Source organism: Homo sapiens, chromosome 7 (genome assembly GCF_000001405.40).
Source record: "Homo sapiens chromosome 7, GRCh38.p14 Primary Assembly".
In the NCBI taxonomy this organism is placed as follows: Eukaryota; Metazoa; Chordata; class Mammalia; order Primates; family Hominidae; genus Homo; species Homo sapiens.
Window position 1 is genome coordinate 13294313 of NC_000007.14, and position 21082 is coordinate 13315394.

Sequence of the window (21082 nt, forward strand, 5' to 3'; positions counted from 1 at the left end):
TTTGCACTACTTTGGACCGGGAGAAATTTGTGGAAACAGGATTTCTGAGAGCCACAAGATGGTTAGTAAACATCAGGCCTGGGTGGAAAGCAGAACAGGAGGCCTGGGGAAGGCACAAGACTGTGCCTCTGTAGGAGTGACCACTCGCTCCCTGTACATTTCAAAATAGCTAGAAGGGAATAATTTTAATATTTCTAGCATAAAGAAAAGATAAATATTTAAGATTATAGATATCCCAATTACCCTGATTTGCTTATATGAATGTATTAAATTATTACATTTACCCTAAATAGGTACATCTAATATGTATCAACAAAAAAAAAGATTAAACAAAAGAAAGCTATTAAATTTTTTTCTCTAAACTTCGGTGCCTTTAATATAAACAGTAAGTGGTTATTGTCGTAGCATGTATCTTATTGTCAAGGTAAAGAACTGCTTATACATATAATTGAAACATTCATGTTGAAAAACAAAGTGCTTTTTGAGCATCAGTGAACATTGAGTGAAGACACATTCCAAACTTGAGGACACCTGTAGTGTTGTCTTCCCAAAAAGCATTTTAAAACTTTTGACTGTTGCTAAGTTTACAGCTTTAGCTGTACCTGAAAAATTGACTTCAGGCTAAAATAAGGTCAGTGTCTTGTCATTATTTAAATACAGTTGTCCTTTTTTTTTTTTTTTTTTGAGATGGAGTCTCGCTCTGTCGCCCAGGCTGGAGTGCAGTGGTGCGATCTTGGCTCACTGCAAGCTCTGCCTCCGGGGTTCACGCCATCCTCCAGTCTCAGCCTCCCAAGTAGCTGGGACTACAACTGCCCGCCACCAAGCCCAGTTAATTTTTTTTTTTTTTTTTTGTATTTTTAGTAGAGATAGAGTTTCACCATGTTAGCCAGGATGGTTTTGATCTCCTAACCTCGTGATCCACCCACCTCAACCTCCCAAAGTGCTGGGATTACAGGTGTGAGTCACCACGCCTGACCCAGATATCATTTTTATAATTGATAAATGTAATTAATAAGTATATAAGATATACTATCTTATAGTAATTAAATAATATATATCAAATAAATACATATGCAGATAAACACATCACGCATTGTTCTTCAGGCTGGCTACAATATTTAGGTACCACAAAAATGTGATGAAGGTATAAACAAATAAAATCTGTGTCTCATTTTTAAAAAGTATTTTTGCAATCATTTATATCTCTTCAAACAGAGCCTTTTTCATTGGCTTCTGCATTTATACTGTGATAAGTATGAGTGTACACAGACACACAACAAGCTCTCAGTAGGCATGTATGTGCCTGTTAAAATGTGATGCTACTTGAATATATTCTATGTGTATATATGTTTTTGATGGAAGAATGTTTGAAAAATCTCAATGGTAAATATCAGTTTTATATAAAAACCAGCATATGTTTAAAAACTACTCTACCCTTCTCAAGTATTTTTCCCTGCAATCCTATCCCCCCCATCTTCTATCTCACTTTTAGATCATCTTAACTAGAAAACAATTTGACAGTTTCTTATAAGCATATATGTACCATATAACCTAGTAATTCCATGCCTGGATATTTACCATAAAGAATGAAAACTTACATTCACACAAAATTTTTCATTGTCCATTGTAATTTTATTTGTAATAGCCCAAAAAAGCAGCTCATATGTTCTTCAATGGGTAAATGAATAAACAAACTGTCCTTTATCCATATAGTGGAATACTGTTGAGCAACAAAAAAGAACAAACAATTGTTAAATGTGACAACTGGGATGGATCTCAAGGGCATTGTGCTGAGTGGAAAAACAATCTCAAAAGGTTTTCTATTGTATAAGTTTATTTATATAACAGTGTTAATAAGAAAAAATTGTAGTAATGAAGAAAAGATGAGTGATTGCCAGGAACTAGGTTGGAGGGTGGTTGCTGGGACTACAAGGGGGAGGTTGAGAAAGTTTTTTTGGGGTGATGGCTCAGTTCTGTGTCCTGGTTTATGGTGGTAGTGTTCACATGAATCTACACATATGATTAAATTCGAATAAACTAGACAACAATTGGTAAAATCTGAATATAGCCCATATTTTAGTTAATAATATTGTGCCAATGCCAGTTTTCGGATTTTAATCATTGTACTTTGGTTATATAAGACATTATCAGTAATGTAGATGGAACAGGAGGTCATTATGTTAAGTGAAATAAGCCAAGAACAAAAAGACAAACATCACATGTTCTCACTCATATGTGGGAAGAAAAAAAAAACAGAATCCCATGAAGATAGAAGATTTGTAGTGCAAATATAAGGTCTGATGGAAGAAATAAGACCTAGTGTTGGATTAATCAGTACTATAACTACAGTTTATAATAACCTATTACGTATTTTAAAATAGAAGAGAATCGTTTAAATGGTTCAGCATAAAGAAAATACATATTTAAGATGATGGATACTGTAAATACATTGATTTGATATTTACAAATTATATGAATGTATTAACTTATTACATGCACTCTGAAACTGCATACACCTATCATGCATCAATAGAAAATAATTAAAAGAATATAAAGCACAGTAAAAAGATTTTTTGGTAACTACTGTGTGATTGTACCATTATTTCAAAATAAAAATATAAAAAATAGAGGTCTTCACATAACACTCTCAAAAGGCTCACTAGAAAGGAAAGGATACTACAAGCCTCCTGACACCTTCACCCATACTAATTTCCTTCTATCCTGCTAAATACAGGAGCACCTCTCCTCCCATCTAAGACCAAACTCGTCAATTAGGTTTTCTAGCCTATCTCTTTACAACTTATCAGCAATCCTATCTATTATTGTAGGTATCTCCTCTATCTCTCAGCTGTGTTCTTTCTATGAGTTTGTAAACTTCCTCAGATTACATGCCATTTTTTAAAAAAAAGTAGTAATTCCTTCCTTTGATCTAATATTCCCTTCTGCCTGCTGCTGTCATTTTTCTTCCCATTCTTAAATCCAAACCTTTCAAAAAGGTGCATATGTATATATACGTACAGAAACCACCTCTTCACCTACTACCTTTACTTCAGCCTACACCAATGCTTTTGGAGAGTTTCAGTGATCATCGGGGGAGGAATTTGTGAAGGGTGATCATCAATAACATTAACCCCACTAAATCCAATGGACTGCTTCACAGTTCTTATCACAGGTCTTTACACTTATTTGTGTGAATATTTGATTAATAGCTATCTCCTCACTAGACTGAGACCAGAGAATAACTTTAAAATTATTGCTCTACTCTTGAACAGAGTGGATGTTCAACTGTGTAAGCCTAAAATTAACAACTGTACATAATCGTTTAAAAATACAATTCTCTAGCTAAGAGGAACTTGTTATTCCGGTGACTTATGTACCATTATTTATTTGAAATAGCCACTTGGTAATCTCAGATGCATCTCCAGATTATCATGTTCAAAACTGAACTCAAGATCTTTTTCCTACAACTTATTTACACCCAGTATTCTCCATTTTAAGAAATGGCACGTCTATGCATTCAGTTATACAAGCCTGAAATGTAGAAGTAATTCTTAACTTTTGTGAACTTTCATATCCAAAACATTCTCCATTTTGCAGATTTTATCTCCCAACTATTACTTGAATGAAACTTCCCTTTCTCTTCTTGAAATGCTAAATACTATCCCACTTATTATCTCTCATTCAAATGGCACATTCCTCGTAATTGGTCTTTATACTTCTACATATTAATATATATAAATATGTAAATACACATATGTATATTAATATAGTATTACATGGCATGTTAGATATATAACTATCATATATCATATATTTAAAAATTGTAAATATTAATATATATTTCTTAATATGATATACTGATGTATTGATATATTAATATAGAAAGAAAAATTATTATTTATAAATACATTGATATATGAACAGTTACCCAAATGAATCCTGAGTTTACTTGGACTCGACACATCCAACGAGCAACAGCAGAGTGCCTATTCTGTGTCAGGCACTCTGAGCTATTTGAGATTCCAAAAATGTCCATGTATGGCTCCTGCCTTCAAGTCTTTCAGTCCTAAACTGTGCTTCAGGTTGTCTGAGTGACCTTGTAGGGAATCGGTAACCAGTTTACTTGCCATTTTCCTTTATCCTGATAATCCTGAAAGTCATTGTTATGAGCAAAATGTTGTCATGTCTCCCTGCAAGACTCCTCAAATTCATATGTTGAAATCCTAACCACCAGTACTTTAGAATGTGACTGCACATGGAAATAGGATCTTTAGAGAGGTAATTAAGTTAAAATGAGGTCATGAGGATGGACCCTAATCCAATATGACAGGTATTCTTATAATACATAGGGATAAGACCCTAATCCTTATGAGAGGTATCCTTATAGGACATAGACAGGTAGACACAGAGGGAAGATCATATGAGGACACAATGAAAGGTGGTCATCTATGAGTTGAGGACAGAGGCCTTACCAACCGTACTAGCACCTCGATCTTGGAATTCTATCCCCAGATCTGTGAAGAAATAAGTTTCTGTTGGTTAAGTCTCCTAGTCTGTGCTACTTTGTTATGGCAGTCCTGGCAAACAGATACTTTCTCCCTTCTCTATAGGTACATACTTTTGAAATCTCAGCATACTTTCCAACAAAGCTGACAAGACTTTTAATAACAATAACTAAAACTTTTATAGGGCTTCAAAATTTAAATAACTGTGTACATGATGCCTTATTTAATCTTTACACCAACCTGAGAGTATCAGTGTTATTTCTCTTTCTAGTTTTTTTTGTGCAATTTACTTCCTCCTAAACTCTCCCTGTAAGTGATAGAGCCTGGATTAAAACCCAGTGTTTTGATTTTCAAGCTTATGGGTGTTTAAACAATTGCCTGAATATTCCACGAACTGTACAATGAGCAATGCAGAATTAACTGTAATTGGCTTTCTTCATAAAAAGTGGTTAACACAATAGGATTCTTTTATCTCTTCTCATCAGGGAGTTCAGATGTGCATGTGTGGAGCTGTGTGTGAGTCTGTAGCCTCTGGTGACTAGCTGAAACATTGACAGTCAATCGGAATCAAACACCTCACAATGGTATTCTCCAAATGATGTTCATTAAGTGAAGCTTTTCTTCTCTCACAACCTAAAATAATCTTGTTTTGCAGAAATAAACAATAACAGTGGCCTGGGGATATTCAGGGAAGATTCCACCACAGAAAACAGAATGTGGAAGTTGTTAGTCTTTTTTGCCTCTATGAGCTGTTATGAAACCTTGTGTTTCAAATCACAGCATGGCAAACTCAGTTTATCAATATCTGGATACTGAATTCAAGATCTTGGTACCTTACTGAGCTGCTATGAAAAGCTATACAGGAATAACTTGAAATTTTTAAATATTCTATTGGTTATTAATGCATTTTTATCTAGTCAGAGCAGGGCTTCTGCTTGGGAATCTACTTAAGTAAAAACTACATTTCTAAGGTATTTTTATATAAGTGGTTTCTTGCTAATTAGTAGAAGATATTCTTTCCAAAGAGAGGCCTTCTTTACTCTTCATCTCTGCATGTTAAGCTGTTTATGAAAAATACTTAATATTTCAAAGATTTCTCAAAGTCTCAGAAATAAAGGTCATCATGAAAATCAACAAAAGTAATTATGGTCCTTATCAAACACATCAAATGTCCGTGCTTGCTTTTTTGTCCATGTTCTGGAATATTAAAAATGTTAGTCGGCTGGGTGCGGTGGCTCACGCCTGTAATCCCAGCACTTTGGGAGGCTGAGGCGAGTGGATCACCTGAGGTCAGGAGTTCGAGACCAGCCTGGCCAACATGGTGAAACCCTGTCTCTACTAAAAATACAAAAATTAGCTGGGCGTGATGGCAGACACCTGTAATCACAGCTACTTGGGAGGCTGAGGCCGGAGAATCTCATGAACCCAGGAGGCGGAAGTGGCAGTGAGCCGAGATCGTGCCATTGCACTCCAGCCTGGGCGTCAAGAGCGAAACTCCGTCTCAAAAAATAAAAAATAAAAAATGTTGGTCAACAATGTCATTATCTATATTTGTTAACAAGTTATGGAGGCATTATCATATGTATTAGGTTTGTTGTGTAGTGGAAAAATGAAGCAGTTCAGCAAGTCCTCAAAGAGCTTATAGTGATTTGAAAAAGCAGAACAGGTATGAGTGTAAATGGTTTGAAATTATTAAATATACCACCTCTGAGGTAAGACAAATAGAGATACTTCTACCTATTGTTTTTTAAATCTATGTCTTTAACTTCATTTATTGTCAAATTTTAATGACTAGTAAATGCAAGATAAGATCAATTGGTAGTAGAGACAATACCATATTGCATTGTTTCTTATTTTACTGGAAATGCCTTTTTTTCTACATTAAATGGAACGTTTACTTACTGCAGGGCTGAGGTATATTTATTATATTATTCTGTTAAGACTTATCAATCAATTCTTATTTAATTCAGGGTTTTTTGACACAAGTGGATGTTGGATTTTGTCAAGCAAAAGGTCTGCTGCTGTAAAAATTATCAGATGGTTTTTCTTGGTTCTATTAATGTGAAAGATTTTATTAAAATACTTTATAATAGAGGATTAATTCTATTAATGTGCTGTTGATTCTTCTTTTTTTTAATATTTGCATAAATATTCATAAGTGGGGTTGGGCTGTAAATATTATTTTTTTGTTTGTTTTTGGTTTTTGTATTGTTGTTTTTTTTCTTTTTTGTTTGTTTTGAGATGGAGTCTTGCTCTGTCGCCCAGACGGATCACTAGGTCAGGACTTTGAGATCAGCTTGGCCAATGTGGTGAAACCCCGTCTCTACTAAAAATGCAAGAAAATTATCTTGGTGTGGTGGCCCAGGGTGGAGTGCACTGGCACAATCTCTGCTCACTGCACCTTCCGCCTCCTGGGTTCAAGCAATTCTCTGCCTCAGACTCCGGAGTAGCTGGGATTACAGGCACCCACCACCATGCCCGGCTAATTTTTGTATTTTTAGCAGAAACAGGGTTTCACCATCTTTGCCAGGCTTGTCTTGAACTCCACCTCATGCAGTGTTGACCAGGCTGGTCTCCAACTCCTGCGTTCAAAGGATGCTCCCACCTCAGCCTCCCAAGTGGCTGGGATTATAGACATGTGCCGCTATGTCTGGCTTCCTCTGTTTTAGTGTCTATGTTGTTGTTACTTCTAAATTTGTATGTTTGTGGTTTTACTTTTTTCCCTTACTTAGCTTATCATGTCAGTTTCGTTGATTTTATTGAAGATCAATATGTGAGATTTATTTGTTGGTTTCATAGCTTTTTGTTGGTTTATTTTTTTGCCTCAATTTTTATTTCTCATCTCTCTACATTTATTTAATTGTACATTTTTGGTTTCAATAATTGTTCTAATTTTTTTTACTTTTATAGTTTTTATTGATATAGGTATTTGATGTTATCAGTCTTACTCTATAACTGCCTTTCTTGTAAGCCAAAATTCTAAAATATCCTGTTTTTAGTAAGATAAAATAAAATGTCCTGTTTTTATTATTATTTAAGCAATTTCATAATTTTGTTTTGTATTTCCCTTTTAACCTGAGATTTATTTAGCACACTTTCAGTTTCTATATTAAAATCTCTTTTGAAAATAATTTTATGATTTCTAGCAGAAAATATTATTTATTAGCATATTTTGTGGGTTAACATATGGCCATATTTTGTACATGCTTCATATTTACTTGAACATAATTTATCCTCTTTTATTGAGGTTCCTACTTGGATATATATCACTGATGAACTTATTGAAAAGTAAAAGGAATGGCAAAAACTGCAATTACTTTTGCACCGACCTAATTATTTGTTAGTTCTTTTACATATTTTCTAACTCTTTATCCACTTAATCAGTCTTGGATTGTAAGAGTTGGGTTAAATTCTACTGTTATTAATATATATCTGCTTATTTCTTTCATAACTATAGTTTTAGCCTCCTAAAATTTGTTGCTGTACAAATATCAATAACTGTTATCATTATAATCTGTAACTTTTAGCATCATGAGATGTCATTTTTGTTTCTTTTATGCTTTCACGACAGTATTTCACCTCATCAAATATCAGCATCAAAATTCTGTCTTTCTTTCTATTTGTGTGTATGTGTGTGTTTTTGGTTTACTTTTTAAGTATAATGGTGCTGAATCTCTTTGTATTATGATGTTTCATGTATAATGTTAAAATTTGATTTTTTAGCCAATCTGAAAAGCTGTGTTTTTAGTAGGTTAAGTTCTCTGATATTTGCTGATATTACCAATATGTTTAGTCTTAGTTTTGTAATATTATTTCATGTTGTATTTATATATACTCAAATACTTCATAATCATCCTTTGTTAGCAAATAATCTGAATTTCAAACATATAAGAACTATTTCAACCTGGCATATGCACCCCTACAAAATCTCTACACTTCCTTAACAGAAAATAAGAAATTTCAAGGAGATATATATATATATCTAGATATATATATATATCTATATATATATATCTAGATATATATATATATAGTAAAACTATTGATATTTGAGGTTAAAAAATTGTGATTCAATGTAATATCATTGATATTCCCATTTGCCATCAATTACCGTATAACTAACTTTGTGAGTCTTCGCAGATTTTTATAAGTCAAACACTTGCTGCTTTGCGCCTGATTATTTTTTAATCTGATTATTCACAGCTTGCTAATTTGTAATTGGGTTTTTACAACTAGAAAACCTCCAGATTTCAGAAAAACTAATTTATTTTTTTCTTTGCTTAATTGTAGTGTTCACACTCAAAACAGTGGAGTGAGATGACTTCTAGTGGGTTTTCTGCAGTGTTCTGGAACCAATAAAATATATTATTGATTGCCTAATGAAAAGCACCATGTTCATACAAATTTACTGAGTCTGGGCAGGGATACAACTGCTACTTTTATTCTGTTTAGAGAATCACCTGCCATTTTACCAGGGTCTATTGCTACATATCAAGTGTGCTTTAAATTAGGTTGGGGTTACCTACAGGGAACTTTGTTAGGTGCTCTTATCCTTTTCCTTTCCTGCAGAGCTACCCATTGCTTCTCATTTAGCCAAAAATCATCAAAATTAATTAAGATTGAGTGGTATAAAAGTTGAAACAAAGTACAAGTTAAGTCCCTTTGAGTCTCTCGAAATTACAGAGTAGAATTTTATATTGTATTTACCACATTACTATGTAAGGTTTAGGCAAACTGACAGGGTGGGCCGATTAAATTTGCTGATTTAAAAATCAGAATTTCAAGAAAACACCTAGAAAAAAGATAGTGCAAAGAGAGCCATGCTTACCAGGATCAAGTGAAAAATTACGAAAATATTTTCATTTCATTAGTCCTTTTGACTAATGTTCTCAAAATATGGTCAATGCAGAGATGTCACAATTGGAAGAATAAAAACAAAGTGAGAAATTTTGTCATTGACTCTCATGAATATATAATCTAGTATGTCTTATATGACATTAGATAGTATCAAGTAATACTGCAAAATAGCATTTGTATTCGTCAGAAAAGTTTATGGTAACAAATATCACCTGAATCTCTGTTCTATTAAACAACAAAGGTTTATTGCTCACCTACACTACACCTTTAATGCATGTTGGCAAGAAGTTATATTCAGATAAAAAGGAGCTCTAGACAGTATTATATGGGCAATTAAATATTCCAGTCTACAAGTGACGCACGTCTCTTCTGCTCACAACTCATTGAAATGGCCATACCCGTAAAGGGCCAGTAATTTCAATCTTTCTATGTGCCAGAAGTTGGGAGAACAATTAATAGTTATCAAAGAACCCTAATGATCACCACAGTACCCAAGAATTAAATTGAGTGGAGCACATAACCGCTATTTGGGAAAAGACATAATAGAAACATTAAAATCTCTAGTCACTTTTCAGCAAACAAACTGATCTGCATCTAAGTTGTCCCAGATACTGCCTTCAAATACCTTAAATGACTAGGAAGAAGATAAAAATAGACATCTATCTATCTATCTGTCTATCTATGCAATTGCAATACAATGTGTCACTTATATTATGGAAACTAAAACACCACAGTATATTGTGCTATTCGTGCCTAGACTAGCTCAGAAGTATTGTTGAAAGTAAAATGATCTTGAATTATAAAACCATAGTGATGCTTTCATGGGCAATGCCATTCACTATTCTAGTCTGTGCTGCCAATAACATATCTCCCCATGCACTAGATTTGGGAAGAAGCACACAAAGAGTTTTGCATAGTTTGATGTCTATCATAAGAGGCTTCTATCATGGATGTGATGAATATGAGAGGGATAAAAATTTAAAAATGAAGTTTCCAGAGAAGAGTTAATTTTTAAAATCTTTTTCTAGCATTACATTGAAAAGTAACATCTGTCATAGAATTCTAACTGGTGAAAACTCAATTGGTGTTTTTTAGAGATCAGCTTGAGAATACATTACACACTATTACAGTTGCTTGACATGTAGTCACTTAGATGTATTGGTGTATATGTTTGTGTATTTGATTGCTTTTAAATAAATAAATGCTATTTTCATCCTCGGGCACAATTCCTTTCAACTGCCACTATCTGGTATTGCAATCAGTGTTCCTCTCTCTCTGTGATCAGTACAGAAGATTTATGGATCTTTGAGCAGTTTTTCAAATTAGCTCATGTTGAAGAGTAGGATAAGGTCTCCAGAGTTGTTGAGACATGAAAAAAGATGAATTTGTGGAAAGTAAAGAAGTAAATGATATGGTTTGGCTGTGTCCCCACCCAAAGCTCATCTTGAATTGTAACTCCCACAATTCCCACATGTCATGGGAGGAACCCGGTGAGAGGTGACTGAATTATGGGGGCAGGTCTTTCCTGAGCTGTTCTAGTAATAGTGAGTGAGTCTCATGAGATCTGATGGTTTTAAAAACAGAAGTTTTGATGTTTTTTTTTTCTTGTAAATTTGTTTAAGTTCCTTGTAGATTCTGGATATTAGACCTTTGTCAGATGGATAGATTGCAAAAATTTTCTCCCATTCTATAAGTTGCCTATTCACTCTGATGATAGTTTCATTGGATGAGCTGAAGCTCTTTAGTTTAATTAGATCCCATTTGTCAATTTTGTCTTTTGTTGTAATTGCTTTTGGTGTTTTAGTCATGAAGTCTTTGCCCATGCCTATGTCCTGAATGGTACTGGCTAGGTTTTCTTCTAGGCTTTTTAGAGTTTTATGTTTTCTGTTTAAATCTTTAATCCATCTTGAGTTAATTTTTGTATAAGGTGTAAAGAAGGGGTCCAGTTTGAGTTTTCTGCATATGGCTAGCCATTTATTAAACAGAGAATCCTTTCCCCATGCTTATTTTTGTCAGGATTGTTGAAGATCAGATGGTTGTAGATGTGTGGCATTATTTCTGAGGCCTCTGTTCTGTTCCATTGGTCTATATTTCTGTTTTGGTACCAGTACCATGCTGTTTTGGTTACTGTAGCATTGTAGTATAGATTGAAGTCAGGTAGCGTGATGCCTCCAGCTTTGTCCTTTTTGCTTAGGATTGTCTTGGCTATATGGGCTCTTTTTGGGTTTCATGAAATTTAAAGTACTTTTTTCTAGTTCAGAAAGTGGGCAAAGGATATGAGCAGACAGTTCTCAAAAGAAGACACTTATGTGCCAACAAACATATGAAAAAAAGCTTATTATCACTGGTCATTAGAGAAATGCAAATCAAAACCACAATGAGATATCATCTCACACCAGTTAGAATGGCAATCATTAAAAAGTCTGGAAATAATAGATGCTGGTGAGGATGCGGAGAAAAAAAGGAATGCTTTTACATTGTTATTGGGAGTGTAAATTAGTTCAACCATTATGGAAGATAGTGTGGTGACTCCTCAAGGATCTAGAACCAGAAATACCATTTGACTCAGCAATCCCATTACTGGGTATATACCCAAAGGATTACAAATCATTCTACCGTAAAGACACATGGGCCAGATGCAGCGGCTCACACCTGTAATCCCAGCATTTTGGGAGGCTGAGGTGGGCGGATCACGAGGTCAGGAGATCGAGACCATCCTGGCTAATATGGTGAAACCCCGTCTCTACTGAAAATACAAAAATATAGCTGGGTGTGGTGGCGGGCGCCTATAGTCGCAGCTACTTGGGAGGCTGAGGCAGGAGAATGGCTTGAACCCAGGAGGCGGAGCTTTCAGTGAGCCAAGATCGCGCCACTGCACTCCAGCCTGGGCGACAGAGCGAGACTCCATCTCAGGAAAAAAAAAAAAAAGACACATGCACCTGTATGTTTACTGCAGCACTATTTACAATAGCAAAGACTTGGAACCAACCCAAATGCCCACCAATGATAGACTGGATAAAGAAAATGTGGCATATATACACCATGGAATAATATACAGCCATAAAAAAGAATGAGTTCATGTCCTTTGCAGGGACATGGATGAAGCTGGAAACCATCATCCTCAGCAAACTAACACAGGAACAGAAAATGAGACACCGCATGTTCTCACTCTTAGGTGGGAACTTATGAGTGAGAACAGGGGGAACACATGGACATAGGGAGGGGAACATCACACAGTGGGGCCAGTTGGGGGATGGGGAGAAGGGGGAGGGAGCGCATTAGAGCAAATACGTAATGCACGTGGGTCTTAAAACCTAGATGACGGGCTGATGGGTGCAGCTAACCACCATGACACATGTATACCTATGTAACAAACCTGCATGTTCAGACATGTATTCCAGCACTTGAAGTAAAATTAAAAAAAAAAAAGTAAAAAAAAGGAAGCTTTTTCTGTACCAGCTCTCTGTTTGCCTGTCACCATTCATGTAAGATATGACTTGCTCCTCCTTCCCTTCTGCCATGATAATTATGAGGGCTCCCCAGCTGTGTGGATTTGCAAGTCCATTAAACCTCTTTCTTTTGTAAATTGCCAAGTCTGGGGTATGTCTTTATCAGCAGCCAGAAAACAAACTATTACAGTAAAGATTTAAAATGGACTGTGATGAGCCAACAATTAAGTTGTGCTACCAAAACCAGTTGTTCCTCTTCCTTCTCTGTTGTCCTTTACCTATGATGCTTAGTACATCTACATAACACCCTAGATCAAGTAAGATTAAAAAGAACTCTATAATGTATGAGAGTTCCAATGGCTTCTGAAATAAAGGAAAAAAGGAAGTCTTCCTGTGTAGTATTGTGGAAGGAAGAGGAGATTTCTATAGGTAGCTGGTGAGGGTATCCTCTCAAATTTCAGGTCCACCTGGAACTTCAGAATGTGATCTTATTTGGAAATAAAGTATTTGCAGATGTAATTAGTTAGAATTAAGTCATAAGAGATTAGAATGTGCCTTAAATCCAGTATGATTGTTGTTTTTATACTAAGAGAAGCTCCAAATATGTAGAGACACACAGGGAAGAATCTTACATGACAAGAGAGGCAAGGATTGGAGTTATATTGCCACAAGCCTGAAATCACCTGAAGCTAGGAAGAGGCAGGGGAGGATTTTTTTCTAGACCATTCAGATGGAGCATGGCTCTGCTAACACCTTGATTTTGGACTTCTGGCCTCTACCACTGTGCGAAATTAAATTCCTACGTTTTAGATTACCTGGTTTAATGGTACCTTGTTATAGCAGTCCTAGGAAACTTAATACAAATAAGTATTTTCTGGTTATATGGTGTGTGCAAATCCATGGCAAATTCTATTTTATAATAATCCCTTTGATTATGTTAACTTTTAAGTTCTAATGCTAATTAGATCCACTTATTGACTTATTGATATAGTAAATGAACTACTACTGTATGTTTGTATTGCCTGTGCATGTGTGAAAAGCAAGGTATGAATTTGCATAGTACATCTAATAAGTGGCTTTATGTATTACTAGGAAACAATCCACGAATGGTACAAATGAAGATTACAAAAATTAAGATTTAAATTCTTAAAAATAAAAGCAGGATGGCATAGCAGAAGAGGTGTAAGGATAAAAATCAAAACACTTGAGTTCCAGTGTTGCTGCTACAATTTAAATGTGCATGACTTTATGCAAGCCATTACATTTTTCTACATCTGTAGTCAGAAAATAAAAATGTCAGACTTCCCATTTCACAGGATTGTTTGAGAAATGAACATACTTATACTACTTTATTAAAGTGTATAGTAATATGAAGTTTATTATATTTGTTAATTAAGAAGGTACTTGAATGAAATGTATATAACTCACATTTGCAAGCCATATGTTCTGGTATAATGGAAAATCACTGTTCATTCAATGTGCTTATCTTAATGGCTTAGAGAGAAGCTTATCAGAGTCAAAATTATTTTCATAATTCAGGTTGTCATTTTTGGAAGGTTATCTAGAGCCATTTTGCAAACCTGAGAACAAGTGGATGAGTGGCATCTGCAATTTGTAACTTTGGCTTTTTAGTGCACAAACACAGGACCAATAATTTACAAAATCTACAAGTCTTTTTTTCACACTTCACAGAAATATTTCTGAAAAGTTTTATGCCAACAATTGGACCTCATCTTTCTAATCAGCTTTTTAGCAAAAATGAAAACAGTGGTGCTGTTATCCAGGGATTTCCTAGAAGAACTGATGAAATGTCAGGCTAGTCATTTGCTTGCTTTGTTGATTGCAGAGAGGACATTTTTTCTTGTTCAGTTTTTGACTTTTATCAGTTAACACAGACAACATGATAAAGGGGAAGAAAGCCAATGATATCTTCGCGCATGCAGAAATAAGAAAAATTTATGAACATTGGTACTTTTCAAAAGATAATTTGTCTTCATTTCCATCATTTTGTGTGTACTACTGGCATTTTGACACCTGCAGATTTTGGCTTGGCCTGTATTGAACAGATGCACACTCCATCACACGTGGGTATGGTTTTTAGGCAATGCATTTTTCCTTCACAAGCATGTCGCCCACCCACCGGAAAGAGCTGAATACCTCCATTGATTCTGTATATTTCTTTCAAATGATACTTTGTATTTTATTTCTGCTCATTAGTATGATAGTTAAAAATCTTATCTTCTGTACCCTACCTTTTAAAAATCTAGGTTTCAATATTATTTACTTCCTTTTTTTTCTCTCAGTTACTTCTTTTTATTTTCATTGGTAAGAAATTGTAAAGTGTAACAGAATGAGTGGAAAATCAATGAATACCCCGTTGGTTAAAATCTCTGTTATGGCTTTTTAATATATTTAATAACATGGGGATAATTAAGTGCCACTTAATGTCAACTGATTTTATTTAAGAAGAAATTGTTTATATTTTTCATAATTTGGTTTTAACTTTGTAGACACCATTTGCTTTATGTTTTATGAATTTTGAGGACATACTTAAAACTAACAATAACATTATTAAAATATGAAAATATTGACACCATTAGCTAAAGCTTATCCACTAGGAGGAGCTGAGTGCTTTATCAAGTATATGTGAAATTTATGTCTAAAAACATTTAGTAAAATATTATCAGTATGTTGAGGTTAATACTGATAAAAGTAACATTAAGCTGAGATAAATTGAATGCCATTATGGTTATATAATAACTTAGAAGCAAAAAGTACAGAGTAAATTTTATTGTATGCTTCCAGCTAATTAGATTACTGAGTGGTTTGAAGTAACTAAAATAAAATTCTACATGTGATTTTTTTAACATCAAAGATCCTTGTAAATTTTTTGTATGTTTACACAATTAAACTGCTTTATAACCAATTTAGTATAAACTAGATCTAAAGGTAGGATATCAAAAAATGCAGGGCAGGGAGTCTGTCTGGATCTGCTGTGATTCTGGGGGCTGCCCAATTCGTGAATCATTCATTGCTCAGTTAAACTCCTTTAAATGTAATTTGATTGAAGTTTCTCTTTTAACAGATGGTGTCAGAAGCGGGGTTCAAAGTAGAGCTTTAATGACCCCCAGAAGTGCTGAGTGAACAAGCAAGGTACCTGCAAGGACCCACTTGTGTCCTTTGATCTCTCAGAGCAGTGGGTAAGTTCTCTCTCAGATTTTGGAGTGCCACAGATTTGTGTTTTGAGCTTTCTGATTTTCTTTGAGCAAATTTCTGTTCTAAACTGGGTTTGGAAGTAACAACAGAAACTGGACTGAGTCCAGGGTCAGATTTGATCTAGTAATTAACTGGCTTGGATCTAGTTAGAGGCCTCTTACATCTGACTGGGTCAGAAAGAAACTGGTAGTAAATGGTAATGTTGTTGGGGTTGTAAAGTTTGGCTTTCGAAAATTTGCAGGGATTTTTGTGTTCTACCCCTTTGTTTCATAGAAAAATCACTGGCTAAGGCAATCAAGGGAACCTGAGAGTAAAGCCAATATTTTAGGTAAAAATGGGATCCTTAATTTCTAAAAGACTGATTTCCTTTCAACTTAAACATTAGGCTCAGGAAGCAACAAAGTCTTACGGAAATGGTGAAGTCTTACCAAAGATAACTTACAGTGGAACACTCTGAATGAACAACGATGTATTGAAGTGAATTTAAAAACGAGGGCTCCCCAAAATTACATCTACTGACTTTTTAGCTTAGTTACTATTCCGATCCAAAGGAAATAGACTGCAACACCAATTGGCTGACTTTGGATAAGTATTGCCGTACATTTCACCTGAGTAAAGGATGGGATTGGGTTAGAGGCCCTCTCCTCAGTAAAGTCCCTCTTGGTTAAAATGGATTAAAGGTGACAGGGCCCAACCAGGGGCAAATTTGACCTTTTCCAGTTCAATATTGGGTGCTAACCAGAGTGGCTAATGTCTATGTTTTGTCACACATATTTTGCTCTGGCCAGAATGGAAAATGTTAATTTGGTTACTACATAAAGCTCCTTGGGCAGCATCTTGCAAAATGAGGAGGATTTTGCCTGTGGTTCCATGATTTTCCATTGTGATGCAGCTTGGTCCCCAGAGGTATGGTATGGCAAACAGGATTGCTAGGGCTGCTCATGGAAGAGGAACCCAGAAACCTGACATGCTGGCAAAAGGGTAAGAATTTCCTACCAGTCAGGCTTCTGGTCTCTCTTTCTCTGTGCAAACCAGTTGAATGAATGACAAAAATCACTGTTTATCTCCTCTGTAAAGTTCTGATTAATGTGAAAAAGGATTCTGAGGCTAGTCTTAAACTGTGGTGAATCTGGTGTATTTTTGCTATGAATTTGTCTTTCTGTGTCATTCTGTCATGAATAGGGGTACCTTAGGATACCTTAGGATACATGGGCTTAGGATCCCATAAGCTCACTATTCAAGGTGGCCCAGCAAGCTGGTCAGTTACAAACTTTGCTGCAGGTCTCTGAAAAAAGCAAAAGAAAAACTGGATGAGGTCTGCATCTTGTTTTATGTCCTTGGGAGCTTAACCTTGTAACCATATGTCAGTACTTTCTTTTGGTTTCTGCCATTTTACAGTGGTGGCCCAGGTTCAATCCTGGCTTAGGAAATGAGTACTTTCTGGTTGGTATCTGTGTGACATTTACCATTTGATAGTTCTCTTCCCCTCCATGAACAACTTCTGTCTTCCCTTCTTGAATTTTTCTGTCTTCAAGCTACCTTCAAAGATTCTATATATTGTAAAAACTACCTGTGTTCTCAGCCCTATTTCTTGAAGGAGGCACCCTAAAGCAAGTAATCCAATTAAGAAACTTCAAAACTGGCAAGTGAAAAATCTTACAACTACCGGATCTTCTTCTGTCTGCCTGTGTAGTTATGTATGTGTTGTGTGTGTGATGTTTATACAAAAGAACTCTAATTAACTGGCTTAAAGAAAAATAAGTGCTTAAATGAGATATTTTGAAAGAAAAATAAAAACTAATTCTTTTTAGTTCACATAACTTTAGTAATCTTTGGGAAATAAAAAGTTTTAAAGATTATTGGTAAAATAAGGACATTTAGTCTAAATTAGGCAGGTCAGATATTAGGTATTCCAAAGACTTTAAGGTCATAAACTGCTGTGACTTTTGAAAATTGTTCAGTTTACCTACCATGAACACATTAGATTCTAGATAAGGCCTTGGGACGTGTTGAATTAGCCATGCCCCCTAGCTATGCCAAGAAGGTTATAAAGAAAAGAGTTTATATAAGAGAGGATCCCATATGGTAAATTCATGTCCTAAATTAAAATAACTGGTTGTTTAAAAAGAGGAATGTTTAGGACAAGCCAGAAAATCCAAGCATGTCGTAGACGGTCTGTGTAAGTCGTGAAATGATTGATGAAAGGAAATTTATGCACCAAAAGTAAAAGTTCCTAAGAGTTACCATTATAACATGAAATTAAGACTACTAAAAAAATAGTTTTATTAATACATGCAAGGTGTATGAGGAGCGTGAAATGTGTTTTTGGTTAAAGATTATAAGAAGGCAGCCAGGCACTATGTCTCAAACCTTAATCCCAGCACTTTGGGAAGCTGAGGTGGGAGGATCACTTGAGGTCAGGAGTTCAAGACTAGCCTGGTCAACAAGGTGAAACCCCATCTCTACAAGAAGTACAAAAATTAGCCCAGTGTGATGGCACACACCTGTAATTCCAGATACTTGGGAGGCTGAGGCAGGAGAATCTCTTGAACTCCGGAGGTGGAGGTTGCAGTGAGCCAAGATTGCACCACTGAACTCCAAGATTGCACCAGTGACATAGTGAGACTCTGTCTTAAAAAAAAAAAAAAAAAAGATTATAGGAAGTCATGGGGAAGTAAATCTTTGCCAGAGGGTTAGAAGATTGTTTTAACTTAGATAAATCTAAAAATTTGAACAAGTTGTGGAAGAGTTGTAAAAATTAACCTTGTAAAAGAAATTCTCTGTGTGGTAATTCTGTCTGGGATAAGTTTCACGTGGTCATGATGTGTAATATTTTTAATATGTTGCTGAGTTTGGGCTGCAAATATTTTGTTGACTTTTTGTCTATACTCAGAGAAATATTGATACGTGGTTTTCTTTTTTGTGATATTTTTGTCTGGAGTTAGCATTGGGGCAACTCACAATGAATTGAAAATTGTTGCAGCTTCTGAAATCTGTAACACTTTATGAATGTTTTATGTCACCTCTTTTTAAAGTACTTGATAGAATTTACCTGTAAAATCACCTGAATCTGAATTTTTCTTTCTTGGAATCATTTTAATTACCAGTTTAACTCCTTTACTTGGTATACATGTATTCACCTTTTCTATTTCTTTTCTTCTCAGTATATATAATTTGTTTTTTTATTTTAATCTTTGTCCATTTATTTAAGTTGTCTAATTTTTCAGCATAAACTTGCTTTTATTCCCTTATGTACATTTTAATTTCTGTAAAATCTATAATAATACACTACTTTTCATTTTGGATTTCAAAAATTTGTGTCTCTTTTTTCTTGTTCAATATATATAAGTTTTTGTCAATTTTGCTAATTTTTCCAGTGAAACTGATTGTGGTTTCATTGATTTCCTCTTTTCTCAGTTTTACTAATTCTGTTCTAATCTTTATTTTTTTCTCTGCTTTGAGTTGATTTTTTTCTCATTTTACTAGTTAAGTCTTAAGGTAGAAATATATTTATTTGAGATTTTATTTAACATTGGCATTTAAAGCTAATTTTTTTTTTTCTAAATACAGCTTTGCCTACGTTGCTTAATTTTTTTTAATGGTGTGATTCAATTTTCAGTCATTTTAAAGTATTCTCTAATTTCCTCTGTAAGTTATCTTTTGGTCCATGGGTTATTTAGTAGTGTGTGGTTTATTTTCTGAAGACTAAAATTTCCATAGTTTTGTTGATTTCTAATTTATTATCTTTGTTTTGATAATATACTTTATTTTATTCTTTTTAAAGCTGATTATTGATTAGTATGTTATGGCCTAGCATACGGTTTATCATAGTATATTTTCCATATGCCCTTGGAAAGAATGTGTATTCTGTTGCTGTTAGATGGACTGTTCCATAGATTTCAGTTAGGTACAGGTCTTTGGGGAACAGGCAAGGATTGTCTGTATTTTTATTCTCATTTTGAAGGGTAGTTTTATTGGTCATTGAATTAATCTTCATTTATTTAGATATATAAGTATGTCACTTCACTGCATTCTAGCCTCCATTAATTCTGAGATGTTAATTTTATTATAATTCCCTTTTATGTGCTAAATAGCTTTTAATCTCATTGGTGGCTTTATTTTTTATTTTTTGATGTTGTTTATTTGTTTGTTTGTTGGTTTTGAGACAGAGTCTCCCTCTGTTGCCCAGGCTGGAGTGCAGTAGCAAGATCTCTGCTTACTGCAACCTCCGACTCCCAGGCTCAGGCGATTCTCCTGCCTCAACCTCCTGAGTAGCTGGGACTATAGGTGCAAGCCACCATGCCCAACCAATTTTTGTGTTTTTAGTAGAGGCAAGGTTTGGCAATGTTGGCCAGGCTGGCCGCAAACGCCTGGCCTCAAGTAATCTGCCCACCTCGACCTCCCAAAGTTCTGGGATTACAGGTATGAGCCACTGGGCCTGGCTTGTTTTTTCTTGTTTGTTTGTTTGTTGTGTTTTTGTTCTTGAGACAGCATCTTGCTCTGTCACCCAGGCTAGAGTGCAGTGACACAATCTTGGCTCACTGCAAACCTCTTTGGCGCACTGCAACCCTGCTGGGTTCAGGTGATTCTCATGGCTCAGCTTCCCAAGTAGCTGGGATTACAGGTGCGCGACACCACGCCTGGCTAATTTTTGGCATTTTTAGTAGGACAGGGTTTCAGCATGTTGGCCAGGCTGGTCTCCCACTCCTGGCCTCTAGTGATCTGACCTCCTTGGCCTCCCAAAGTGCTGGGATTAGAGGTGTGAGCCACTGTGCCTGGCCTCTGCTTAGTTTTGGCTGTCAAAGTTTGACTATGATACATCTACATGCAAATCTTTTTGTATTTATCCAATGTGGAATTTAATGAGCTTAATGGATATATACATAAATGTTTTTCATCAAATTTGACATGTGTTTAGTCATTCCTTACTAACAAATGTTTTCACTCCTTTTATTCTGTCTCCTCTATTCTATGATAGCACATAGTTGAACTAAGCAACTACTCTGCCAGAGACAATCAAGAATGAACTTACATACTTACTGTCATGTGGATTAA

General features: G+C 35.3%; 1 long non-coding RNA gene across 1 annotated transcript in view, besides 1 other annotated feature; it reads left to right on the forward strand.

The window, feature by feature from the left end:
- The first annotated feature begins 923 nt into the window (after positions 1-923).
- Positions 924-21082, forward strand: part of LOC107986770 (uncharacterized) — a 407223-nt gene continuing 387064 nt past the window's right edge. The window contains exons 1-2 of the long non-coding RNA XR_001745097.2: positions 924-955; positions 15897-16011. This is a non-coding gene — a long non-coding RNA (uncharacterized LOC107986770). The remainder of the gene's footprint in view (positions 956-15896; positions 16012-21082) is intronic.
- Positions 12725-13240: an enhancer, noted in NCBI's record as "NANOG hESC enhancer chr7:13346662-13347177 (GRCh37/hg19 assembly coordinates)". NCBI's record gives its function as "activates a minimal SCP1, AML or CMV promoter by ChIP-STARR-seq in primed H9 embryonic stem cells {active_cell/tissue: H9 hESC(primed)}" and the evidence as "EXISTENCE:reporter gene assay evidence [ECO:0000049][PMID:30033119]".